The sequence below is a fragment of the Homo sapiens genome, chromosome 16, assembly GCF_000001405.40.
Source record: "Homo sapiens chromosome 16, GRCh38.p14 Primary Assembly".
In the NCBI taxonomy this organism is placed as follows: domain Eukaryota; kingdom Metazoa; phylum Chordata; class Mammalia; order Primates; family Hominidae; genus Homo; species Homo sapiens.
This window is the reverse complement of record NC_000016.10, coordinates 11,703,959-11,726,783: the sequence shown is the minus strand read 5'-3', so window position 1 is coordinate 11,726,783 and position 22,825 is coordinate 11,703,959. Positions and strand designations below refer to the sequence as shown.

The 22,825-nt window shown below is 42.3% G+C and overlaps 1 protein-coding gene across 12 annotated transcripts in view; it reads left to right on the top strand.

The window, feature by feature from the left end:
* TXNDC11 (thioredoxin domain containing 11) overlaps window positions 1-22,825 on the top strand; it is a 63,775-nt gene that overhangs the window by 16,074 nt on the left and 24,876 nt on the right. For 9 of the 12 annotated variants that reach the window (NR_136674.2, NR_136673.2, NR_136672.2 and 6 more), the window contains one exon: window positions 5,114-5,207. Coding sequence is in view for 5 of the 12 variants with exons in the window: in NM_001324022.2 (NP_001310951.1) it covers window positions 5,114-5,207 (94 nt within the window). In the remaining 7 variants the exon portion in view is untranslated. Of the gene's footprint in view, window positions 1-850; window positions 988-5,113; window positions 5,208-12,310; window positions 12,431-22,825 lie in introns of those variants that run through there. The other 3 variants (XM_011522515.3, XM_047434191.1, XM_047434192.1) reach the window with 2 other exon arrangements.

The following is a 22,825-nucleotide window of genomic DNA, read 5'->3' as shown; positions in this document are numbered from 1 at the left end:
TGTGCCCCGCTGACGTAAAATTTTATTATATGTATATGGAACTCTATTCATGTATGCTTATTCTATTGTTAGAAAAAGAAATGTACTAATTGTATCTTGGTTTTAATTTTTAGAAGTCCTATAGTTGAATCCTTTCAAAGGCCTATTCAGATGATTTGATACTGAATTGCTTAGAGTGGAAATTTTTTTTTTTTTTTTTTTTTTGAGGTGGAGTCTCGCTCTGTTGTCCAGGCTGGAGTGCAGCGGCGTGATCTTGGCTCACTGCAGCCTCCACCTGCCAGGTTCAAGTGATTCTCCTGCCTCAGCCTCCTGAGTAGCTGGGACTCAGGCATGTGCCACCATGCCCGGTTAATTTTTGTATTTTTAGTAGAGATGGAGTTTCACCTTGTTAGCTAGGATGGTCTCTATCTCTTGACCTCGTGATCTGCCTGCCTCGGCCTCCCAAAGTGCTGGGATTGCAGGCGTGAGGCACCGCACACGGCCGAAGAGTGGAAGTTTTTAACCAATGGAAAATATTTTATTTGGCTTAGATATCTCAGACCTACCAATATCACATTGCGCTAATCATTAACCATGGTTTTATGTTTGTAAACTATGACTCTAAGAGGCCTGGCGAGGTGCTTCATGCCTGCAACCCCAGCACTTGGGAGGCCAAGGTGGAGGATTGCTGGAAGCCAGGAATTCAAGACCAGCCTGGGCAACAAAATTAGACCCTGTGTCTATAACAAAATGTTAAAAATTAGCCAAGCATGGTGGCACATGCCTGTAGTCCCAGCTCTACTTGGGAGGCTGAGGCTGAAGGATTGCTTGAGTCCAGGAGTTTGGCGTTACAGTGAGCTATGATGGCACCACTGCACTCCATCCTGGGCAACAGAGTGAGACTCCATCTCAAAACAAAACAAAGACAAGACTCTGAGACCAGAAACAATTTCTAGGACAACAGTTTTGCCTTTAAGTTACTTAAACATCACAGAAAGCCATTAAAGGGTGAGTACTAAAAATTCTTAACTTTGTAAACCCTGAAATACTTCAGTTGTTATTAGCAAAGAAGTAATGCATAAACTATGCATGGTGAAGTGCTCTTCAGTTTTCAAGTGCTTATTTCTAAATGTTCCAAACAGCTGGGTGAGGTAGATGGAAACTGTGGATCCTTCCAACAGATTAAGAAGCTAAGGTACAGGGAGGCTGTGATTTACCTACATGGAGACTGGACGACAGCCCAGCCTTGTGGCTCCCCAAATTCTTGTCTATCATGTTCCTTCCTCAAAGAAATATTTAAGGTTCCTGAATTGAAACTTCAGTATCTACCCAGGGGTTACAACTTCAAATATTTATTTAATGTCATTTTTTGAAACTTTTTTCTTTTATGGTAGAACATTTTGACGATGTTGGCTCCTTAATTTGGCTGTTAGCTTTTTTTTTTTTCTAAATGAATACTTAAAAGAATAAATATGGATGAAGGATGATGCCATGGCTCTTAAGCAGCAGAGTTTTGCCATTTCCTGTTATTAATTGGGTCATTCACATTTATTCTGCAGAACTGGGATTATTTTGTGTATGATAGTCACAATATTCAGGCAGGGTATGGTCTATAATTTTCTACCCAGGTAAGCACTACAATGATACTTCCCTTGTAAATAATGAATGTAGCTAAAAACTGAAATGAACTTGCCAGGAGATCCCATAAAGGGAGATTAAGAGCTCTATATAATTTTCTTGCAAACCATGTTAAGAAATTTGACTGGGCCCCGTGGCTCACACCTGTAATCCCAGTACTTTGGGAGGCCGAGGCGGGCAGATCATGAGGTCAGGAGTTTAAGACCAGCCTGGCCAACATGGTGAAACCTCGTCTCTACTAAAAATACAAAAAATTAGCCGGATGTGGTGGCGGGCGCCTGTAATCCCAGCTACTCGGGAGGCTGAGGCAGGAGAATTGCTTTAACCTGTGAGTCAGAGGTTGCAGTGAGCGGAGATCACGCCACTGCACGCCAGCCTTGGCGACAGAGAAAGACTCTGTCTCCAAAAAAGAGAAAAAGAAATTCTACTTACTTCAGTTACTCCAGTTGTGGAATCCCTCTTCCTTGAATGTTCTTCCTGCCAATTTAAATAGAGAGAGGAAAATGAAGTCGATTACTGTGGACAACGTATACTAACAGAACCAGTGTCATTTTTATTTTTATTTTATAGAGATGAGGTCTTGCCATGTTGCCCAGGCTAGTTTGGAACTCCTGAGGTCAGGTGATCCTCCCATCTCAGCCCCCAAAAGTCCTGGGATTATAGACATAAGCCACCACACCTGGCCGGTGTCATTTTTATTTCAGTGGACATTAAGTTGATTGGAAAGGGAATAGGACTGAGCAATAGTCATTTAATTTTCAGTGACTAATTTTCTGGCTCCTCTAATTTCAGTATTGTTTGGACATCATTTGTGTTAGGTATTGGTAGCTTCTACATCAGTAGTGCTTACTTTCTTATTTATTTGTTTGTTTGATTGTTTTTTTGAGACAGAGTCTCCCTCTCTTGCCCAGGGTGGAGTGCAGTGGTGCGATCTCTGCTCACTGTAGCCTCCACCTCCCAGGTTCAAGCAATTCTCCTGCCTCAGCCTCCCAAGTAGCTGCAACTACAGGTGCCCACCATCACGCCTGGCTAATTTTTGTGTTTTTAGTAGAGATGGGATTTCACCAGGCTGGCCAAGGGTGATCTTGAACTCCTGGCCTCAAGTGATCTGAGGGGATTACAGGCGTGAGTGCTGCTGGCCTCTTTTTTATTTTTTAAAGCACTTGACAGATTCATTTGACTTGTACTTTATAATTTACTCACCAAATGCTAACAGTATTATTATTTCAAACTCTTCTATCTGCAGGCAAAATATTTTAAGAATCTTTCCATGAATTTCTGTATCCATTTAAGAACACTTATTTAGCATACATTCATTCATTTATTCCTAACAGCTTGGTAACAAAATTGTTTTAAATTTAGATGGGATGGGGAAAGGCTCGGGAATCTTTTAGGGGGAAGAAGAGAGTTAAGTAAAATTGCCAGATGACAGAAAACATGAGCATTTTGACAGAATTGTAGAATGCTGGTACCCAACATTGTCATATTGTTTGTAAAATTCTACTCTGAATGTTGTGCACATAGGTACTGTTTCTGTTAGTTCATAGTTTTGTGGGTTTTTTTTTTGTTTGTTTTTTGTTTTAAGATGGAGTCTTGCCCTTTTGCCCAGGCTGGAATGCAGTGGCACGATCTTGGCTCACTGCAACCTCCACCTCCCTGGTTCAAGCAATTCTTGTGCCTCAGCCTCCTGAGTAGCTGGAATTACAGGCGTGCACCACCATGGCTGGCTAATTTTTTTATTTTCAGTAGAGACAGGGTTCCACCATATCGGCCAGGCTGGTCTTGAACTCCCGACCTCAAGTGATCCACCTGCCTCAGCCTCCCAAAGTGCTGGGATTACAGGCGTGAGCCAGGGCAACAGAGTGAGAATCTGTTTCTTTTTTTTTTTCTTTTTTTTCTTTTTTTTTGAGATGGACTCTTGCTCTCTCCCCCACCTGCTGGAGTGCAGGGGCATGATCTCAGCTCACTGCAGCCTCCACCCCCTGGGTTCAAGGGATTCTCTTGCCTCAGCTTTCCGAGTATTTGGGACTACAGGCATGTACCACCACACCTGGCTAATTTTTGTATTTTTTAATAGAGACAGAGTTTTACCATGTTGACCAGGCTGGTCTTGAACTCCTGACCTCAAATGATCCTCCCTCTTAGGTCTCCCAAAGTGCTGCGATTACAAGTGTGAGCTACTGCACCCAGCCTAGATGTTAAGTTTCTATCAGAATGAAAACCAATTGATTCATTTACAGTTGAATCTTACAACAAGCAAGTGGTTTAGATTGGAAAGATAGTATATTCTACTACAGATCAAAAGTTTCCTCTTTTTTATAACATATTGATTTTAAACTTTACCAACAGATCAAATTTCCACCAAATTTTGGATGCAATTTTGTTTCAATGATCAAGTTCATTTCCACAATGACTTACTAATATAGAGTGTAGTGCCAAGTGCTTTTGGGCTCAAAAGGATTCTTTTCATTTGCCTAGTGCTTTACGGTTCATCAGGCTTGCTCTTTGCCTAACCCTGTGAAGAATTGTTCCTATTTCCACATCAGGCAACTGAGGTTTCATATTGAAGGGTTCTCCCGAGGCTGTTCATTCAGCCACTAGATCTCAGACTTGAGCTTAGGTCTTCTGACTCCAAGTCCAGCACTCTTTCCTCAGGGATCTCAAAATTTGACTTTTAAGACAGATACGATTATTACAGAATAAAACCTGACTGAATGAGTGCCACAGGGCCTTCCAAGAAGGAAGAAGTGATTGTAAACAGGAAGGCAGAACATATCTGGTAGGGGACAGTTAATTGGTTTGGCAGAATGAAGGGGCATTCTACGCCCAGCTTAGAGAAGTGGAATGAGCAGGTGGAAATGAATGTGTAGGGTGGAGGAGCCAGAGGGCCAGAGGCGGGTCCTCTGCAGATCTGAGGGAAAGGAGAGTTGCCACTGTGGAATGCTGGGTTTTGGCGGGGGTTCTGTGGTTTGTTTCCTGTTGAAGGGGCTTGATTACAGGTGAAGATTAACCCTGATTTCCAGCAAAGTGTGAAGGTATGTTTGGAGTCAATGAGAGAGAGAGATTCAAGAAGAAACTTAAGAAAGGTTAAAAGAAAATTATTGCCATTGCTTGTCTGGAGTTGTTAAAAGCGATTGAGGACATAACTTACTGATAAAGTTTTGAGCCTGGGAGAATTGTACTGTCAACAAACAGGGTGTGGAAAGACCTACTCATGGGGACAGAAGGAAATTTCAGCTTTGAATGTCCCTGAATGACCACTGTACAATCCTGTCAAAGCTACTGCAACTCCATCCCTTACCCTGTTTGTTGTTTAAATGGAGGGGATGTTCAACCCCAACCTGAAATTTTTATCATGTGCTTAGGCTTTTTGAAAAAATGAAAGGCAACAAGATGCATTAATTGTCAAATTGTAATATGTCTTGCTTTAAAATATCCTCCATTACACTGTGGCTGACAGTGCCTCAGTTACCTAATTCTGCTCTTTTTCCTGCAGCCTGGAGTACTCGGGTACTTTGAGTTCAGTGGCTCACCCCAGCCTCCTGGTTATTTGACCTTCTTCACCTCAGCATTACATTCATTAAAGAAAGGTAAAAAATGATTCATATTAAGACATTGTTACTTCAGTAGAATTGTTACTTACATCTTTTCCATGTGTTATTATGAATATATATTCTAATTTGCTTGATTCCTTTTCTCAACGTATTTTTATTTATTTTATTTTTTTTTAGATGGAGTCTCGCCCTGCCGCCCAGGCTGGAGTGCAGTGGCGTGATCTTGGCTCACTGGAATCTGCCTCCCGGGTTCAAGCGATTCTCCTGCCTCAGCCTCCTGAGTAGCTGGAGTTACATAGGTGCCTGCCGCCATGCCTGGCTAATTTTTGTATTTTTAGTAGATATGGGGTTTTGCCACGTTGGCCAGGCTGGTCTCGAACTCCTGACGTCAGGTGATCCACCTGCCTCAGTTCCCAAAGTGCTGGGATTACAGGCATGAGCCACTGCGCCCAGCCGTCAGTGTATTTTTAATAATTACATTGTTTAGTGTTCCATCATTAGCAAACAGGAAATACTGTTCTGTTTCACATATAGTCTCGCAAATGTTTTGCTTTTTAAAAATATAGCTTGAGGCTGGGCGCAGTGGCTCATGCCCGTAGTCCCAGCACTTTGGGAGGCTTAGGCGGGTGGATTGCTTGAGTCCAGGAGTTTGAGACCAGCCTGGCCAACATGGCAAAACTCCGTCTCTACAAGGAATACAAAAATTAGGCACGTGTGGTGGTACACACCTGTAATCCCAGCTAGTTGGGAGGCTGAGGTGGGAGACTTGCTTCAACGTAGGAGGCAGAGGTTGCAGTAAACCGAGATCGCGCCACTGCACCACTGCACTCCAGCCTGGGGGACAGAGTGAGATCCTGTCTCAAAAAAAAAAACCATATATATATATATGATATGAATGTCGGGCACGGTGGCTCACGCCTGTAATCCCAACACTTTGGAAGGTCAAGGCGGGTGGATCACCTGAGGTCAGGAGTTCGAGAACAGTCTGGCCAACATGACGAAACCCCGTCTCTACTAAAAATACAAAAATTTAGCCAGACATGGTGGCACGTGCTTGTAGTCCCAGCTACTTGGGAGGCTGAGGCAGGAGAATCGATTGAACCCGGGAGGCGGAGGTTGCAGTGAGCCAAGATCACGCCATTGCACTCCAGCCTGGGTGACAGAGCGAGACTCTGTCTCAAAAAAAAAAAAAAAAATTATTACATCATAATCTTTTTTTGTGTGTATAGTTAAAAGTTTTGGTCAGCATTTTTAGTGGTTATTTTATCTGTCAGATAGGTTGTAATTTAGCAATACATTTCTTCTGAGAAGTATTTTTATAGGTATAAAACGCATGTCACATTACAGCATAGGCTACTGCCAGCTTCTCACATCTGTATTTTTCTTTGACTTAGTTGAATTGTATATTGTTTGGTGTCCTGGTTTTTAAGTGAAAGGTCATATTCTCCCAATTGTTTTATGTTGTTGTATGCTCTCTCTCAGTCCTGACTCCACAGCTTGTCACTTGTGTCAGATCCATTCTCATCTGCTCGCTTGTCTCCATCCCCTTTGTTACCACTCCAGTCTGCGCCCCTTCACCCACACCTGGACCAGACCAGTGGACACATAACTGGTATCCACTCGCTTCTCCTTCCTCAGACTGTGGCCTTTGCATATGCTAGTCCTTCTTCCTGGAATGTGCCTCCACCCCTAGGGCTCAGTTCTCCACCTGTCAGGGCCCAGCCCAAATATCGCTTCCACAATTAAATAACTGAAACCACTACCCCAGTCTAACTTGGGTACCCTGTTGTTTTTTTGTAGCACTTAACACAGTTTGCATTTATGTATGTGGTTACAAGATGATTTATTTAATGTCTTTTTCCCTAGACTGTAAGATTTCTGAGGGTAGGGACCATGTTCCTCATGTTAGTGTTCTTTCTGTATAGCCTGGCACAAAGCAGGGTCTCAGTCAGTCTTTGCCAAGCAAGTGATCACATTAATGACCCTATTACCTTCCCCCAGGAGATCAACCAAAAATATGTAACTATTCTTTTATTATTTTTATTTTTGGAATATTAAAACAGTATATATGAAACAATTATATGACTGGCAATTTTAATATATACCTTGAAGGTTTTATGGACAGAGAATCTACTATATTCACATTGTTTGTCTGGGAGACATAGGGGGAGAAAAGCTGTCATATAAGTATGTCTGTCTAATTGAAAGACTTTGAGCTGCACAGTTTCAAGTGACTAAGCAGACTTAGCAAATGGAAGTTTGAACTTTGGAAACAAAATACTGCCAGCTTAAATAAGCTTAAGAAGCATCCATTCAAAGCTCTTCATGGAAAATTAAATAAAGCCCTTCACAGAAGACAGACCTTAATGAAGACTATATAAAAGGGTAACCTAGAGTCATTCACTAAAGTGATGGTAGCATTCAAGTTTGTGAGCTGAAGAGGCCATTTCAAGGTCGTAGAAGCATGTTTTGTTATTTGATTGGCTTATATTGTGTGCTGCTATGCCGTATTAGAAATACATTACTCATCTTAAATTATTTTTTCATTCAGAGGTTTCTAAAAAGGTGTTCCTTTTAGGAATACCCTTCTAATAAGAGGCAGCAGCCTTTTTCTCCTTTCTTTCAGCAAAAGAAGGGTAAATAGTGATAAATAAAATAGATATAAAATAAGGTTGAAAGGGATAAATGGTTAAAAATTACTCAAAGGTTCAAAATGAACCTCCTTGGTCAAATCACTAATTTTGACAAGTTTATGTGCTAGTTGTTTTCATAATAAATGTGGTCTGATTTACTTTCTCTACATCTCTTCCCTATCCTGTGATTCTGGTTGGAGCTTGTAAAATTCTGTTGCATATGCAAGTTTGCAGGAGCTGAGATTAATTAATTAATTAATTCTAATTAATCCTTTTCACCCCATTTTTTTGTGGCTAAATTCACACAATTGGAAATGATGATTTTCTGTAATATGTGCACTATGAAGGATTCCCTAAAGTAAATCTTGCCTTGGGCATCTGGGGTTTTTCTCCCTTTCTTCTACCCTGAAGTCAAATGGTGTTTTCCTTATTATTAACAGCAGATGTGCAGTAAGAGGTAGGAGAAACACATGCACATTTAAAAAAAAAAGATACAGTTTCAAATTAAATTCTAGGTCAATGTCATGTTTAGATTGTATGTACAGATCAAGGCTGGAGAAACATTTGACACATATAACATTTAGTTATAGAGAACTGAACTGAAGAAGTGTTTAGACTGTTGTAGTAGAAAGCAGATGCCTTGGTTCAGCTGGCTACCAGCATTTATACAATACACATGCCTTTCCCCTGCCTTAATGATTTTTTTTTAAATTGTCTTAGAAATAGCCAGGCCACTTCAAAGTTCTACATTTGTTTTTTGAAGCTAGCTGGTCATCAGTGCATAAATAATTTGCGAGAGTACCATGTCTGAAGCATCACAGGGCTGTAGGGTGTGCTGTGAGGAGAGCTTATTCCTGGCCCCCAGCATGCGAGGCTTGGGTTATAAGATCGGGTTCTGTGGTCCTTTACCCCCCACTTAACGCAACTTGTCAAACATTTGCTATTTTTACACATTAAAAGAAAGGAAATTCACTTACCACCTCAGCACTCTAATAGTAACTGCCTTCTCTTGTTGTTTTAACTGTTTCCTTTTTTCTCCAGGGCTCGGCCTCAGTGCTGATCTGTCAGTTTACCTTGGTCCACCTGTTAAGGTGTTGTGGACAGGAACTCTTGTGCATATTTCTGTCCATTATTGTATTAGCCTTTCTTTTTTTTTTTTGAGACAGAGTCTCTCTCTGTCGTTCAGGCTGGAGTGCAGTGGCGAAATCTCTGCTCACTGCAACCTCTGCCTCCGAGGTTCAGGTGATTCTCCTGCCTCAGCCTCCCGAGTAGCTGGGATTACAGGCGCCTGCCACCACGCCCAGCTTATTTTTTGTATTTTTAGTAGAGACGGGGTTTCACCATGTTGGCCAGGCTGTTCTTGAACTCCTGACCTCATGATCCGCCCGCTTCGGCCTCCCAAAGTGCTGGGATTACAGGCGTGAGCCACTGCGCCCAGCCTGTGTTAGCCTTTTTTACTTCTGTTATTATTATTTATGTAGTGCTTTCGTATTTTCTTTAAAAAAAAGTTAAATCTCTGGTTCTTTTTTTTTTTTTTTTTTTTTTCATTTGGAGTCTCGCTCTTTTGCCCAGGCTGGAGTGCAGTGGCATGATCTCAGCTCACTGCAACCTCCGCCCAGGTTCAAGGGATTCTCATGCCTCAGCCTCCTAAGTAGCTAGGACTACAGGCGCCCACTACTGCGCCCACTACCACGCCCGCCTAATTTTTGTACCGTTAGTACAGACAGCTTTTTGCCATGTTGGCCAGGCTGGTCTCAAACTCCTGACCTCAAGTGATCCACCTGCCTCGGCCTCCTAAAGTGCTGGGATTACAGGCATAAGCCACTGCGCCTGGCCTTCTGGTTAGTTTTTCTTGCTTTTTTTTTTTTTTTCCTGAAAATCTGATGACTATATTAGTTTATTTTCTTCTTTTTTAAATTTAAAAATTATTTAGCACTTTATGCTCCCTGGCTTTACTTTGGCTTAAAATATAGAGCACAGTTGATTTTTCCCTCTCTCATTTATAAAATGATGTTTCCTTTCTTTCTAATCTTGATGATGCCTGCTTTAACTACAGAACATATTTTTCCATGGATTTGGGTCTATTTCTGTGATTTCTTTTGGTCTGGATACCTATTTTTGTCTGAGTAAACATAATCTAAGTTCTTACTTTGTAAATTGTTATTACTTGGTCAAGTCTGGACTTCTTGTAGTTCTTGTGTTTTGTGGAATATTCTTTTATGTCCATCCGTGCCTTTGGCTGGAATTTTGTTGAAATTATGTTAAATATATAAATTGACTTGAAGATAATTGACATGTTCATAACATTTAGCTTTCCTTTCTAGGTGCACAGCATGATTATTCATTTATTCAAAACTTCCTTTTAATTTTTTATAGTAGGTCTTACATATCTCTCATTAATGTTTAATCATTTCACAGTGCTAGATGATTAATTGTGGGCTGGCAATCTTTGTATATGTTTCAAAAGCCTGGAGGAAATCAGCTCTCTTGTACTTTACTCCTCCAGGACTGCAAAGCCTGTTCCTCTTGTAACATTTTTACATTTGATCTTGGCAGAGAGGCTACTTTATTGCCAAAAGAAAATTTGGTAGAGGGGTCATATTCTGAAGTTGCTTGCTTGATTTTTAAAAATCTGATGATTATTTCATTATTTGCTGTAAAAATGTGTTCTGGTAACATTTTGTCATACTCTGCTATAATTCAGTGGCTTTTTTAAAAGAGAAGATTTGCAGCAAATTTTGACCCCATTTTTCATCTGATCTACAAAAGGACTTGCAGTGCAGTCTAGGGAGAAAAGCAGTGGGCTGGGAGGCAGCAATGCCTGGTCCTTACCCTTTGTCTGCTCCTGGTGAGGTCTGTAAACTTGGAACAAAATATTTAACCTTTCTGTGTTTGTGTTTGTTTATCTTTAAATTTGGGGAGGGTAGAGGTAAGTATATAAATCCTTATTTTATAAGGTCAAATCATGAAATACTTTGTGTGTGAGTAAAGTAATAAAGCGAGTAAAGAAATACTTTGCGTGCAAGTAAAATAATAGTCTTTATACCTTAATTAGAAACTAAGCCATCTGGTTGAAAGCACCTCAGATAAGTATTTTACCTATTCTAGTGAAAAAATCCACACAAGAAATGATGTCATTGACTGACCAGCAGGCCCAGTCTTTCTCTTCCCCTTTCCCGTGCACCTCCTACCTGCTTCTATTTGTAACGCATGGTTTTCTCCCTGTCCAATGGACTGAATCTCTCTGCCACCAGAATAGGAGCTAATTTTTCAGATAATATTTACTGAGGACCTTGATGGCAGGGTTTTGTTTTGTTGCTCCTACAGCTCCACACCGTGCTTGGTGAATGTATGACTGGTAAAGGACGCGTGAGAAAGATTTTAGCTACGGGATTTTAAATGTCACTTTGGATCCCCTCTCACTACCTTCTCCACTTCTTGTGCCTGGCCCTTCAGGCTCAATAGACCATAGTGTAGGAATTTCCCTGCCTGGTTCATTCTTTTTTTTTTTTTTTTTGCCGTGACAGGGTCTCACTTTGTTGCCCAGGCTGGAACGCAGTGGTAACCTTGAACTCATGGGCTCAAGCAATCAGATTCTGCCTCAGCCTTCTGAGTAGCTAGAACTACAGGTGTGCACCAACACACCAGCAAGTTACAACAATTTTTTTTTGTAGAGATCAAATTGAAATTCACATGGTACCTAAATACCATCTTGGAAATACACTAAACTATTTTTTTGTTTTGTTTTGTTTTGTTTTGTTTTTGAGACATCCGTTCTCTGCTCACTGCAACCTCCGCCTCCCGGGTTCAAGCAATTCTCCTGCCTCAGCTTCTCGAGTAGCTGGGACTACAGGCACACGCCACTAGGCCTGGCTGATTTTTGTGTATTTTAGTAGAGACGGGGTTTCACTGTGTTGCCCAGGCTGGTCTGGAACTCCTGAGCTCAGGCAATCCTCCCGCTTTGGCCTCCCAAAGTGCTGGGATTACAGGCGTGAGCCACCACGCCCGGCCACACTAAACTATTAACCAAAATATTGTTTCCACTCCCTTCTACCACCTTTGGGAATTCCTAAACTCAGTTGATGAGGAAACCTTGTAGCATTAGTAGCATTAGTTTTCTAAGGAACTCCCTTTGGGAAATAGTGTTTTAGAGGAAAGGTATTAAATGGAGGAAGAACTTTGATTCCAGCGTAGTGTCCCTGTACTCCACCAGGTGGCGTCTGATGCTGCCGAGATTTGCTTGTAGAACTGAGTCGGTACGCATAAAAAGTGCCCTCCTCCAAGCGAAGAAAGCTTTTCTGGAGTATTGTTCTGTCAGATTGGAAATTTTTTTTTTTTTTGAGACGGAGTCTTGCTTTGTCGCCCAGGCTGGAGTGCAGCCGCGCGATCTCGGCTCACTGCAACCTCCGCCTCCCGGGTTCACGCCATTTTCCTGCCTCAGCTTCCCGAGTAGCTGGGACTACAGGCGCCCGCCACCACGCCCGGCTAATGTTTTGTATTTTTTAGTAGAGACGGGGTTTCACCGTTTTCGCCAGCATCGTCTTGATCCCCGACCTCGTGATCCGCCCACCTCGGCCTCCCAAAGTGCTGGAGTTACAGGCGTGAGCCAACGAGCGCGGCCAGATGGTGAGATTTTATACAGCATCAAAAGATCTTGGCGGGGCACGGTGGCTCACGCCTGTAATCCTAGCACTTTGCGAGACTGAGGCAGGTGGATCTCTTGAGCTCAGGAGTTTGAGACCAACCTTTCGCAATGTGGCGAAACCCCGTCTCTACAAAAAATACTAAAAATTAGCCTGTAGTTGCAGCTACTTAGGGGCTGAGGTGGGAGGATGGTTTGAACCTAGGAAGTCAGGGCTGCAGTGAGCTGAGATCATGCCACTGCTTTCTGGCCTGGGTGACGAAAGTGAGACCTTGTCTCAAAAAAAAAAAATCTGAAGGATAGGGTTTTCTTGCTCAGTATGGGACATTTTAAAAGGCATTGAAAAAACAAGGGACTGACAAGCAAGGATGGCTTGGAGATTGCTTTATTTTCTCAGGTTTTTGGACCTAACTCTTGGGTCTTTGGACCAGACATTGAGTTTAACAGTTCTCGGCAAATGGCATGGGTTCTAGGATCGTTTTTTTTTCTTGGGTAATTTCATTTGTTGTCACTATACTCACTCATGGGGGAGACCTTTTTCTAACTATCTGCCTGCATTGAGACCCTTCTGGGTACTGACTAATATAGATTAAAATAAACATATTAAAAATTCCATACTTTGGGCCGGGCGCTGTGGCTCATACCTGTAATCCCAGCACTTTGGGAGGCCAAGGCGCATGGATCACCTGAGGTAAGGGGTTTTAGACCAGTCTGACCAACACGGAGAAACCCGGTGTTTACTAAAAATACAAAAATAGGCAGGCATGGTGGCACATGACTGTAATCCTAGCTGCTTGGGAGGCTGAGACAGGAGAATCTCTTGAACCTGGGAGGTGGAGGTTGCAGTGAGCCAAAATCATGCCATTGCACTCCAGCCTAGGCAACAAGAGCAAAACTCTGTCTCAAAAAAAAGGAAAAAAAATTCCATACTTTATGTCCCCACACCTAAAACTGACTGTTTAATTCAGTTGACATTATTTTAGCAAAGGAATCCTTGTATATTTTGTGAGAGATGCTTTTATTTCCATTATGATTTCTTTTCTTTTTTTTTTTTTTTGAGACAGAGTCTCACTCTGTGCCCAGGCTGGAGTGCACAATCATGGCTCACTGCAGCCTCAACCTCCCCAGGCTCAGGTGATCCTCCTACCTCAGCCCCCCAAGGAGCTGGGACTACAGGCATGCACCACCACGCCTGGCAACCTGGCAATTTTTTTTTTTTTTTTTTTTCCTGAGACAGAGTTTCACTCTTGTTGCCCAGGCTGGAGTGCAATGGCACGATCTTGACTCACCGCAACCTCCGCCTCCTGGGTTCAAGCGATTCTCCTGCCTCCCAAGTAGCTGGGATTTACAGGCATGCACCACCATGCCCAACTGATTTCTGTGTGTGTGTGTGTGTGTGTGTGTGTGTTTTAAGTGGAAATGGGGTTTCTCCATGTTGGTCAGGCTGGTCTTGAACTCCCGACCTCAGGTGATCCAACCACCTCAGCCTTCCAAAGTGCCGGGATTACAGGCGTCCACCACTCCTGGCCAAATTTTTCTATTTTTTTTGTAGAGATGTAGTTTCACCACGTTACCCTGGCTGATCTTGAACTCCTGGGTTCAAGCAGTCCAGCCACCTCAGCCTCCAGAAGTGCTGTGGTTAAAGGGGTGAGCCACTGTGCCCCACAATGACTTATTTCTTAAGTCTTATAAATAAGAACTAAGGCCAAAAAAGATCCTCTCAGCACGTGAGGTTAGAATCAGAAGTACGATTTCTTATTAAATAATTCAACAACCATTTGAGGATCTGGTATGTGATATAGCTATAATGATGAATGTATCTCATTTCCTGCCATCAGCAGGAGCCACCAGCCAGTGTGGCCAAGAAGTAGGGTTGCTCACAATGAGAATTTAGTGATGGGTCTGTGACAGCCTTCCTTAGGTGGAGACGGGAAGATGGCTCAGTGGAGATGGGTGCTGGGGGGTGGGAGGCTTAGCCTGCAGCTAAGTATGGAAGAAACCGCATGCAGAGTGGAAGGTTGATGGGGCTGGGGAAAGCAACAGGTGTGTCCACTTGTGCCTTGGCTTCAGGAAGCTCAGAGCCAAATTTAGTGTTCATTTAGAGAGATTTTGATCCCTCGATCCCAGGTATTTGAAAAATTGCACCTTCACTTTCTAATTATGTAGTGATATTTTCTACCCTTTTAAATTGACTCTTTTAGAGTATTGGTGTGGGTGTTGATCCTGTTTCTCCAAGTTTGTTTTTTTCATGTTTGGAAGTTGATAAGACTCCTAGATAAAGAACTAGAAGCATTACAATCTTAGAAAATAATCTTAGGGACATAATAAAGTCACAAACTTACAGTCAAACAGCTCCGTGCAGACAAGCCCAGTTCTGGTCTGTCCTTGGCCACCTTTTATATACAGTTGAACCAGATAAGCTGATACTTGACTGAGCACTTCCATGAGCCAGGCACTTTACCTGAATGACACAGTCTTCACTGTCACCCTTTGAAGTAGGAAGTGTTTATTCCAGTTTCACAGATGGAGAAACCGAAGCTCTGAGGGGTTGCTAACTGGCTCAGGGTTAGTGTGGTAGGCAGGGCTCATAAGGGCTCCTTAAAAAGCTCCGCTTCTTACTCAGTAGAACCTGCGAATAGGTTATATACATGGCAAGGGGGAATTAAGGTAGCAAATAGAATTAGATTGCTAATCAGCTGACACTGAGGTTATCCTGTGTTACTGGGGTGGGCTCAGTGTAATCAGAAGGATTCTTAAGAATCAAAATTGGAGGCAAAATAGCAGAGTGTAATGTGAGATGGACAGTCTAGTTGTCACTGGCTTTGAAGGAGGAAAGGGCCACAAACCAAGGGATGTGGGTAACCTTTGGAGCTGGAAAAGTCAAGGATTCTCCCCCAGAGCCTCCCAAAGGAACATGACTTGCTAACAGGCCAGGGTTGATTTTAGCCTAGTGAGACTCATTTTGGACTTTTGACATCCAGAACTTTAAAATACATCTGTGTGTCTGCCATTATTTGTTACAGCAACAACACGAAGCCAGTACCGTCACATGCCAGTAAATACAGGAGCTGAGATGAGAACCCTGGTGCAGAGCTCACTCACTCCACCCTTACTCTGTTTTCTCTGCAGCTCCTCTGCTCTACTGAGGTGCAGCAGGTGATATGATATGGTGATTCCCTCTTGGCTTTGCCTGTGATACTGCTTTAAATGTAATGTTTTTCCCTGCCTAATGTCTGCCTTCCTAATTTTTCAAGGCCTAGGGGAAGTTCTATGGATTAATAACTCTTGACTATCTAGCATGACGTCCGGCACACTGGACGTCCTGTGATTTTCATCACCCCAGCTTCTTTCTTGGAGCTGCTGTTGCACTAATAGACAATAGGCCATGTCTTCCGCTTAGCAGCCTGTCTTGGTTTCTAGTTTTCCCTGGGCTTTAGTGGTATCTTCCTAACAATAAGCATAGATAGACAGGGGCCAATGAGTCCTGAAGTCATTTTATTTTATTTAATGTTTATTTATTTATTTGACAGGGTCTCACTCTGTTGCCCAAGCTAGAGTGCAGTGGCACAGTCACGGCTCATTGCAGCTTCAAACTCCCGAGGCTCAGGTGATCTTCCTGCAGGCTCACGCCATCACACCCAGTTAATTTTTGTAGAGATGAGGTTTTGCCATGTTGCCTAGGCTGCTCTTGAATTCCTGGGCTCAAGCAGTCCACCCACCTTGGCCTCCCAAAGTGCTGGGATTACAGGCATGAGCCACTGCGCCTGGCTCTAGTCATTTTAATAGCAAGTATCCTGGTATAATCATGGCCCAGCGGCCTTTTCTCACTGGCCTTCAGGTTTCAGGTTCCCCATCTGTTAAATAAGGGAGCTTTGCCCTAGTTATCTGTAAGGGACACTTCATCTTGAAAATGCAATGGCCCTTGGCCTATTTTTGTAGGCCTGGGAGCTAAGGATGTTTTTTACATTTTTAAAGCATTGTTTGGAGGGGAAAAAGAGAACGTGACAGAGACCTCATCTAGCTGACTCCTGTGTTAGACCTTAAGAACAGCCTGAAATGGGGTGGAGGAGGTTTCTCAGTGGATATATTTAGTTTGCAGAGTCCTTCCTTCCCCTGAGGGCTACCAAAAAAAAAAAAAATTAATTGAAGTGCATACAAGGGAAGTTTTTCAATTGATCATTTTATTTTTTCTTTTGAGATGGAGTCTTGCTCTGTCACTGAGTCTAGAGTGCAGTGGTGTGATCTTGGCTCGCTGCAGTCTCTGCCTCCTGGGTTCAAGCGGTTCTCCTGCCTCAGCCTCCCGAGTAGCTGGGATTACAGGCATGTGCCACCACGTCTGTCTAATGTTTGTACTTCTAGTAGAGACGGGGTTTCACCGTGGTGGTGTGAGCCACTGTGCCTGGCCTGAATTGATCATTTTAATATGGTGCTTTAGACTTACTAAATGAGAACAATTGGTGTGAGGGTGTTTATTTTACTGTCAGGTTAAGTATATGTAACAATGCGTATTTAGTACTACAGTTTATTTTCTCCTAAAATCATGTACTTGGAACTACATTTCTCTTTCCTTCCTACCTAGCTCACATACAGAAAGAATCACAGCTGCCAGGCGCGGTGGCTCACGCCTGTAATCCCAGCACTTTGGGAGGCCGAGGCGGGCGGATCACGAGGTCAGGAGATCGAGACCATCCTGGCTAACATGGTGAAACCCCGTCTCTACTAAAAATACAAAAAAATTAGCCGGGCATGGTAGCGGGCGCCTGTAGTCCCAGCTACTCGGGAGGCTGAGGCAGGAGAATGGCGTGAACCCGGGAGGCGGAGCTTGCAGTGAGCCGAGATCGCGCCACTGCACTCCAGCCTGGGCAACAGAGCGAGACTCCGTCTCAAAAAAAAAAAAAAAAAAAAAAAAAAAAATACAAAAAATTAGCTACGCATGGTGGTGGTGTAATCTCAGCTACTCGGGAGGCTGAGGCAGGAGAATTACTTGAACCTGGGAGGCAGAGGTTGCAGTGAGCTGAGATCACGCCATTGCGCTCCAGGCCTGGGCGACAGTGCGAGACTCTGTCTCAAAAAAAAAAGAATCACAGCTTATAAGTTACATGTTAGTTTAGTAATATCTTGGCAAACACCACAATGTATCTGTGATGTCCAAATGCCAGATTTTTTTTCTAAATAATTGCTTTGTGCTTTATATTAAGAAGTTTGAAACTATGCACATTTCACTGTCTCATTTCTAGGGGGAAAATGCAAGTAATGATAGTTTATACATTGAAAACAAGCATTTCTGTAATGTTACATTTCTTCGAAGGTTTTTTCATTTTAATGGACACTTTATTGGAAATATATAACATCACCAGGAAATGGTTATGAAGAACTTGAAAAGTGAATCACTATGTAAATATTAAAATTAGAGGGGTTGTTTTAATCCCTTTTTAAAATAATCCTATTTTTCTCCTTTTTCTGACTTTGGAAAGAAGAGTGGGAAAGTAGAAGTTAAAATTAACAGACTAAAATGAGAATTGTTTCCCAACAGATGGAAGGTACTATGATACAGGTTTGCCTTTTGGTATACCACTATTTTCAGTTTAAAGAAATGAGAAGAATTTCCCCATGGAGTAAATGACTTCTTATCCATGATGATTAAATGCCATGTGACTTAATCCAGTGGTATTTTGTTTTGAAGCATATGTTGGTTTGTTAGCAGTTACCTTTATAAGCATTTTTCTTGACCCGATATTCCATTTTGTTCCATGATGCCTTAGAGATGAGCTCATGCAGAAGTCTCCATGATAGCAGATGACCTTCCCTAATGTAAGGAATTCCACATTGTTCAGACCTGGAGTTTCTCTCTGTTCTTTCAGTGTATCCTTGGGTACTTTGTAGTACACCAAGTGCTATTTACTATAGGCCTCTGAGAGAGAATTAATTTCAGAAGCTCAGGCTAGAGTCATAGGTCTAGAGCCCCACTTTTTCCTTTTTGAAGAAAAGGGGACACGTTCTTAAAGATAATTATTCTTTGCTGTTGGATGGATTTTCATGAAAAAAATTCAAGAAACATTGTCTCATGTGATCTTACCAGATAAGTGCCAATTATTAAGACTTGCTGGCTGCTGGATTTATCATCTCAGGCTAATTGTCTTCCTGAGATAAATGAATCTTGCTTTTTCATCATTACCACTCTGGCATAATCTAATGGAAATACAATATGAACCACATAGCTAATTTAAAATTTTCTTTTTTTAAGTTTGTTTTTTGAGACAGGATCTCATATTGTTGTCCAGGCTGGAGTGCAGTGGTGCAATTATAGCTCACTGCGGCCTTGACCTCCTGGGCTCAAGCATTCCTCCTGCATCAGCCTCCCAAGTAGCTAGGACTATAGGCTTACATCATCACGCTCAGCGAATTTTTAAAAATTTTTTTAGAGCTAGGGTCTCACTCTCTTGCCCAGGCTGGTCTTGACCTCCTGGCCTCAAGTGATCCTCCTGCCTCAGCCTCTCAAAACTGTTGAGATTATAGATGTGAGCTACCATACCCAGCCTAATTTAAACTTTTCTAGTAGCTACACTAAAAATTAAAAAGAAGCAGGTGAGGCTGGGTGCGGTGGCTCAGGTCTGTAATCCCAACACTTTGGGAGGCTGAGGCAGGCAGATCACTTGAGGTCAGGAGTTCGAGACCAGCCTGGCCAACATGGTGAAACTCTGTCTGTACTAAAAATATAAAAATTAGCTGGGCATGGTGGTGCACGCCTGCAATCCTAGCTACTCAGGAGGCTGAGGCAGGAGAATCGCTTGAACCTGGGAGGTGGCGGTTGCAGTGAGCCAAGATTGGGCCACTTTACTGCAGGCTGGGTGACAAAGTGAGACTCTGTCTTTAAAAAAAAAAATTGGGAAAAATAAAAGAAACAGGTGAAATTAATATTTAACCCAGTGTATCCAAATTATTTCAACATATAATCAGTATAAAAATCATGGAGTTTTTTTTTTTTTCACCTCCCACATTTAAGTGATTCTCCTGCCTCAGCCTCCCAAATAGCTGGGACTACAGGCGCCTGCCACTAAGCCTGGCTAATTTTTAGTAGAGATGGGGTTTCACCAGGTTGGCCAGGCTGGTCTCGAACTCCTGACCTCAGGTGATCCACCCACCTTGGCCTCCCAAAGTGCTGGGGTTACAGGTGTGAGCCACCGCATCCAGCCCTAAACTGACATTTTAATATTTAAAATTAAATTTAAGTCATATGATACTAAACTAAAATACAGTTTTCCCTTGGTATAGATTGGGGATTAGTTCTAGGATCCCCAAATATACCAGAATTTGCATACTCAAGTCCCACAGTTGGCCCTTCAGAGCCTGCCTGTATGAAAATTGGCTCTCCATATAGGTGGGTTTTAAATTCTGCAAATACTGTATTTTGGATCTGTGTTTCGTTAAAAAAAATATGCATGTAAGTGGACCCACGCAGTTCAAACCCATGTTGTTCAAGGGTCAGCTGTAGTCATATATTAAAACGTTGTCCAAAACCAAAAAGCTTTTATCCAAACTAGAGGATAGTGAGCCAGATGAATGTGAGTGGAAACCAGATGGAGTTTCAGGTCTTTCAGGAACCCTTGGTAGCTGTCATGAGGTGAATGGTGACAGCGGTGCACGGGAGGCACAAGAAGGGCAGCCAAAGCTATACTTGGGGAGGGTGTGGGAAGCAAGAGAAGAACATTCTGTTAGGGGCAGAGAAGAATCCCACACTCACAAGAGATGACCAGGAGTAAACCTGCCTGCCTGCCAAAAGTAGGCAAGATTTCATGAGTCAAAGCACAAGACCATTTCTGCTCAAAGCACAGCAAACAATATTAGCATCAGCATAATAGTGCTGGTTCCCCAGCCCATGCCCATGGGAGATGTGCTGTGATGGGTCTAGATGGTGCCTGTGTGCACAGCCTTGTAGCCGACGATCACAGGGCCCAGGGCTCAGCACCCTCTGTAGCAAGCAGCCAAGGAGCACCCTCCCTCCCTGAGGGGTGAGTGGCGCCAAGAGACATGCTGGCTGTGGTCACCTTGACCTTCTTAGCCACCTGCATGAGCAGCTGTGGAAACTGGTTAGTAACTAATTCTTTACCCAGATGTTCCTTCAAGATTTCATTACATCTTGCAGTGATCATTGACACCAGTTGTCACTGTATGGTTAACAGAGATCTTGAACTGGCCAATTACCAGGCTAATGGAGAATTTTTTTTTTAATCGAATGGGATACTGCAGTTTTTAGACCTTTTTGAGTAGAGGAGGGGAGAGTATGAGTCTTAGTTTATTTTTAATTGTCCAACAAATTCCAAGTTCTTAATTAAAATATTGAAAATTCATTACTTTTAGGACAAAATAATTCATTTTATAAATGACTAAGACTTCTGTCGTAGAAAGCCCTGGAGCTCTGCTTATCAGAAAACACTCTGGATAAGGAGATGTGACATGCTGGTTTTTTGTGTCATCTTTACGCTATAAACTTCCTCTGCTAATCTAAGTATTCTTTGTTCACGTGAGACTGCAAATTTAAGCTGCTGCTTCTAGCAAGATTTCCACCATATGCTAGAACTTAAATAGAAGCGTGTTTTTTGTACATTTCTGTTATGTGTGAAAAATAAAGTTTTGAAATTATAATATGTTTGAGCATGTTAGAATTTGTTCTGTATGGGCAGACTGTCCATTCTTATTAAGGCAGTTAAACAGGTTTTTGAATGGCCCCTTTTAACTTTTGGGTCAGGCTGTCACTTCTTATTTCTCTGCTCTAATAAATCACGATGGTGACTTTGGCAGGCTATCAAATGAATTTCCTTACTGGCTGCTTTTCCTTCTCTTCTTTTAACTGTGACTGTCCTCCAAGATCAGCTGCTTCTGGAGAGTGGTGTTTTGGTCCTACTAAATCACGTCCTCTCTTTGGTCTGTTTCTTCTGACAGCTTTGGGATCTGGACTTATATGCCATGCCCTTTAAACAAAGTTTTTAAAAATCTTCAACTAATTCTATACTTAGAGAAAAGTTGCAAAAATAAAACAGAGAGTTCCATAATTGCCTGTCTTTAGCCAGTTTCCCCCATTGTTAACATCTTACATAACCAATTGTTAGGTGGTTTTGTACAAACTAAGAAGTCAATGTTAGAGTTGGGTGTGGTGGCTCACACCTGTAATCTCAGCACTTTGGGAGGCTGAGGCCAGGTGGATCACTTGAGGTTAGGAGTTCGAGATCATCCTGGCCAACATGGTGAAACCTTGTCTCTACTAAAAATACAGAAAAATTAGCTGGACATGGGGGTGCATGCCTATAATCCCAGCTACTCGGGAGGCTGAGGCAGGAGAATCACTTAAGGTTGCAGTGAGCCGAGATGCACCACTGTACTCCAGCCTGGGCGACAGAACAAGAATCTGTCTCAAAAAAAAAAAAGAAAGAAAAAGAAGTTAACATTGGTTCGGTCCTATTCACTAAACTGCAGACCTCATTTGAATTGTCTCCATGTTTCCACTAGTGTCTGTTTTTGTTTCAGGATCCAGTCTGGGATCCCATATCGCAATGTGTTGGTTTTTTTCTCAGTTTCCTTCAACCTATGACAAATCCTCTGTCTTTCCTTGTCCTTTATAACCTTGACACTTCTGAAGAATATTTCTCAGGTATTTTGTAGAAAATTGCTCAATTTTGTCTGTTTTCTTGTGACTGGAATAGGTCATGTCTTTTGACAGCAATACCATAGAAATAGGTACTTCTCAGCACTTCTTATCAGGGGGTTCATATGATGTCAGTGTGTCTCCTACTGGTGACATTAACTTTGATCAGTTGGTTAAAGTAGTGTCTGCTGTGTTTCTCCACTGAAAAGTTACTATCTCTTCCTTTGTAATTAATAAATAAATACCTTGGGGGAAGATCATTTGACACTATGTAAATATATCCTCAAACTTCTGCTCATGAATTTTAGCCTCCATCAGTGGATCTTGCCTGCAACAATTACTCTGGTGTTCAAATGGTTATTTTCTGTTTCTTTCATTCTTTTTTCATTATTAGTGGAATTCTCCCTTAAAGAAGAGCTGACTGTTCTCATTAATATTATTATGGAGTCATGGGTATTTATCTTATTCTGTGTACTGTCATTGTTTATTTTGTTGCTCAAATTGTTCCAACTTTGGCTACTAGGAGGGCTTCAGCTTGGCTCCTGGGTCCTTTGGACAAACCCCCATCCTTTTATGAGCACTTCTTTACTTCATTTATTTTTTTTGAGACGGAGTTTCACTCTTGTCACCCAGGCTGGAGTGCAATGGCAAAATCTCGGCTCACTGCAACCTGCACCTCCCGGGTTCAAGCAATTCTGCTGCCTCAGCCTCCCAGATAGCTGGAATTACAGGTGCGTGC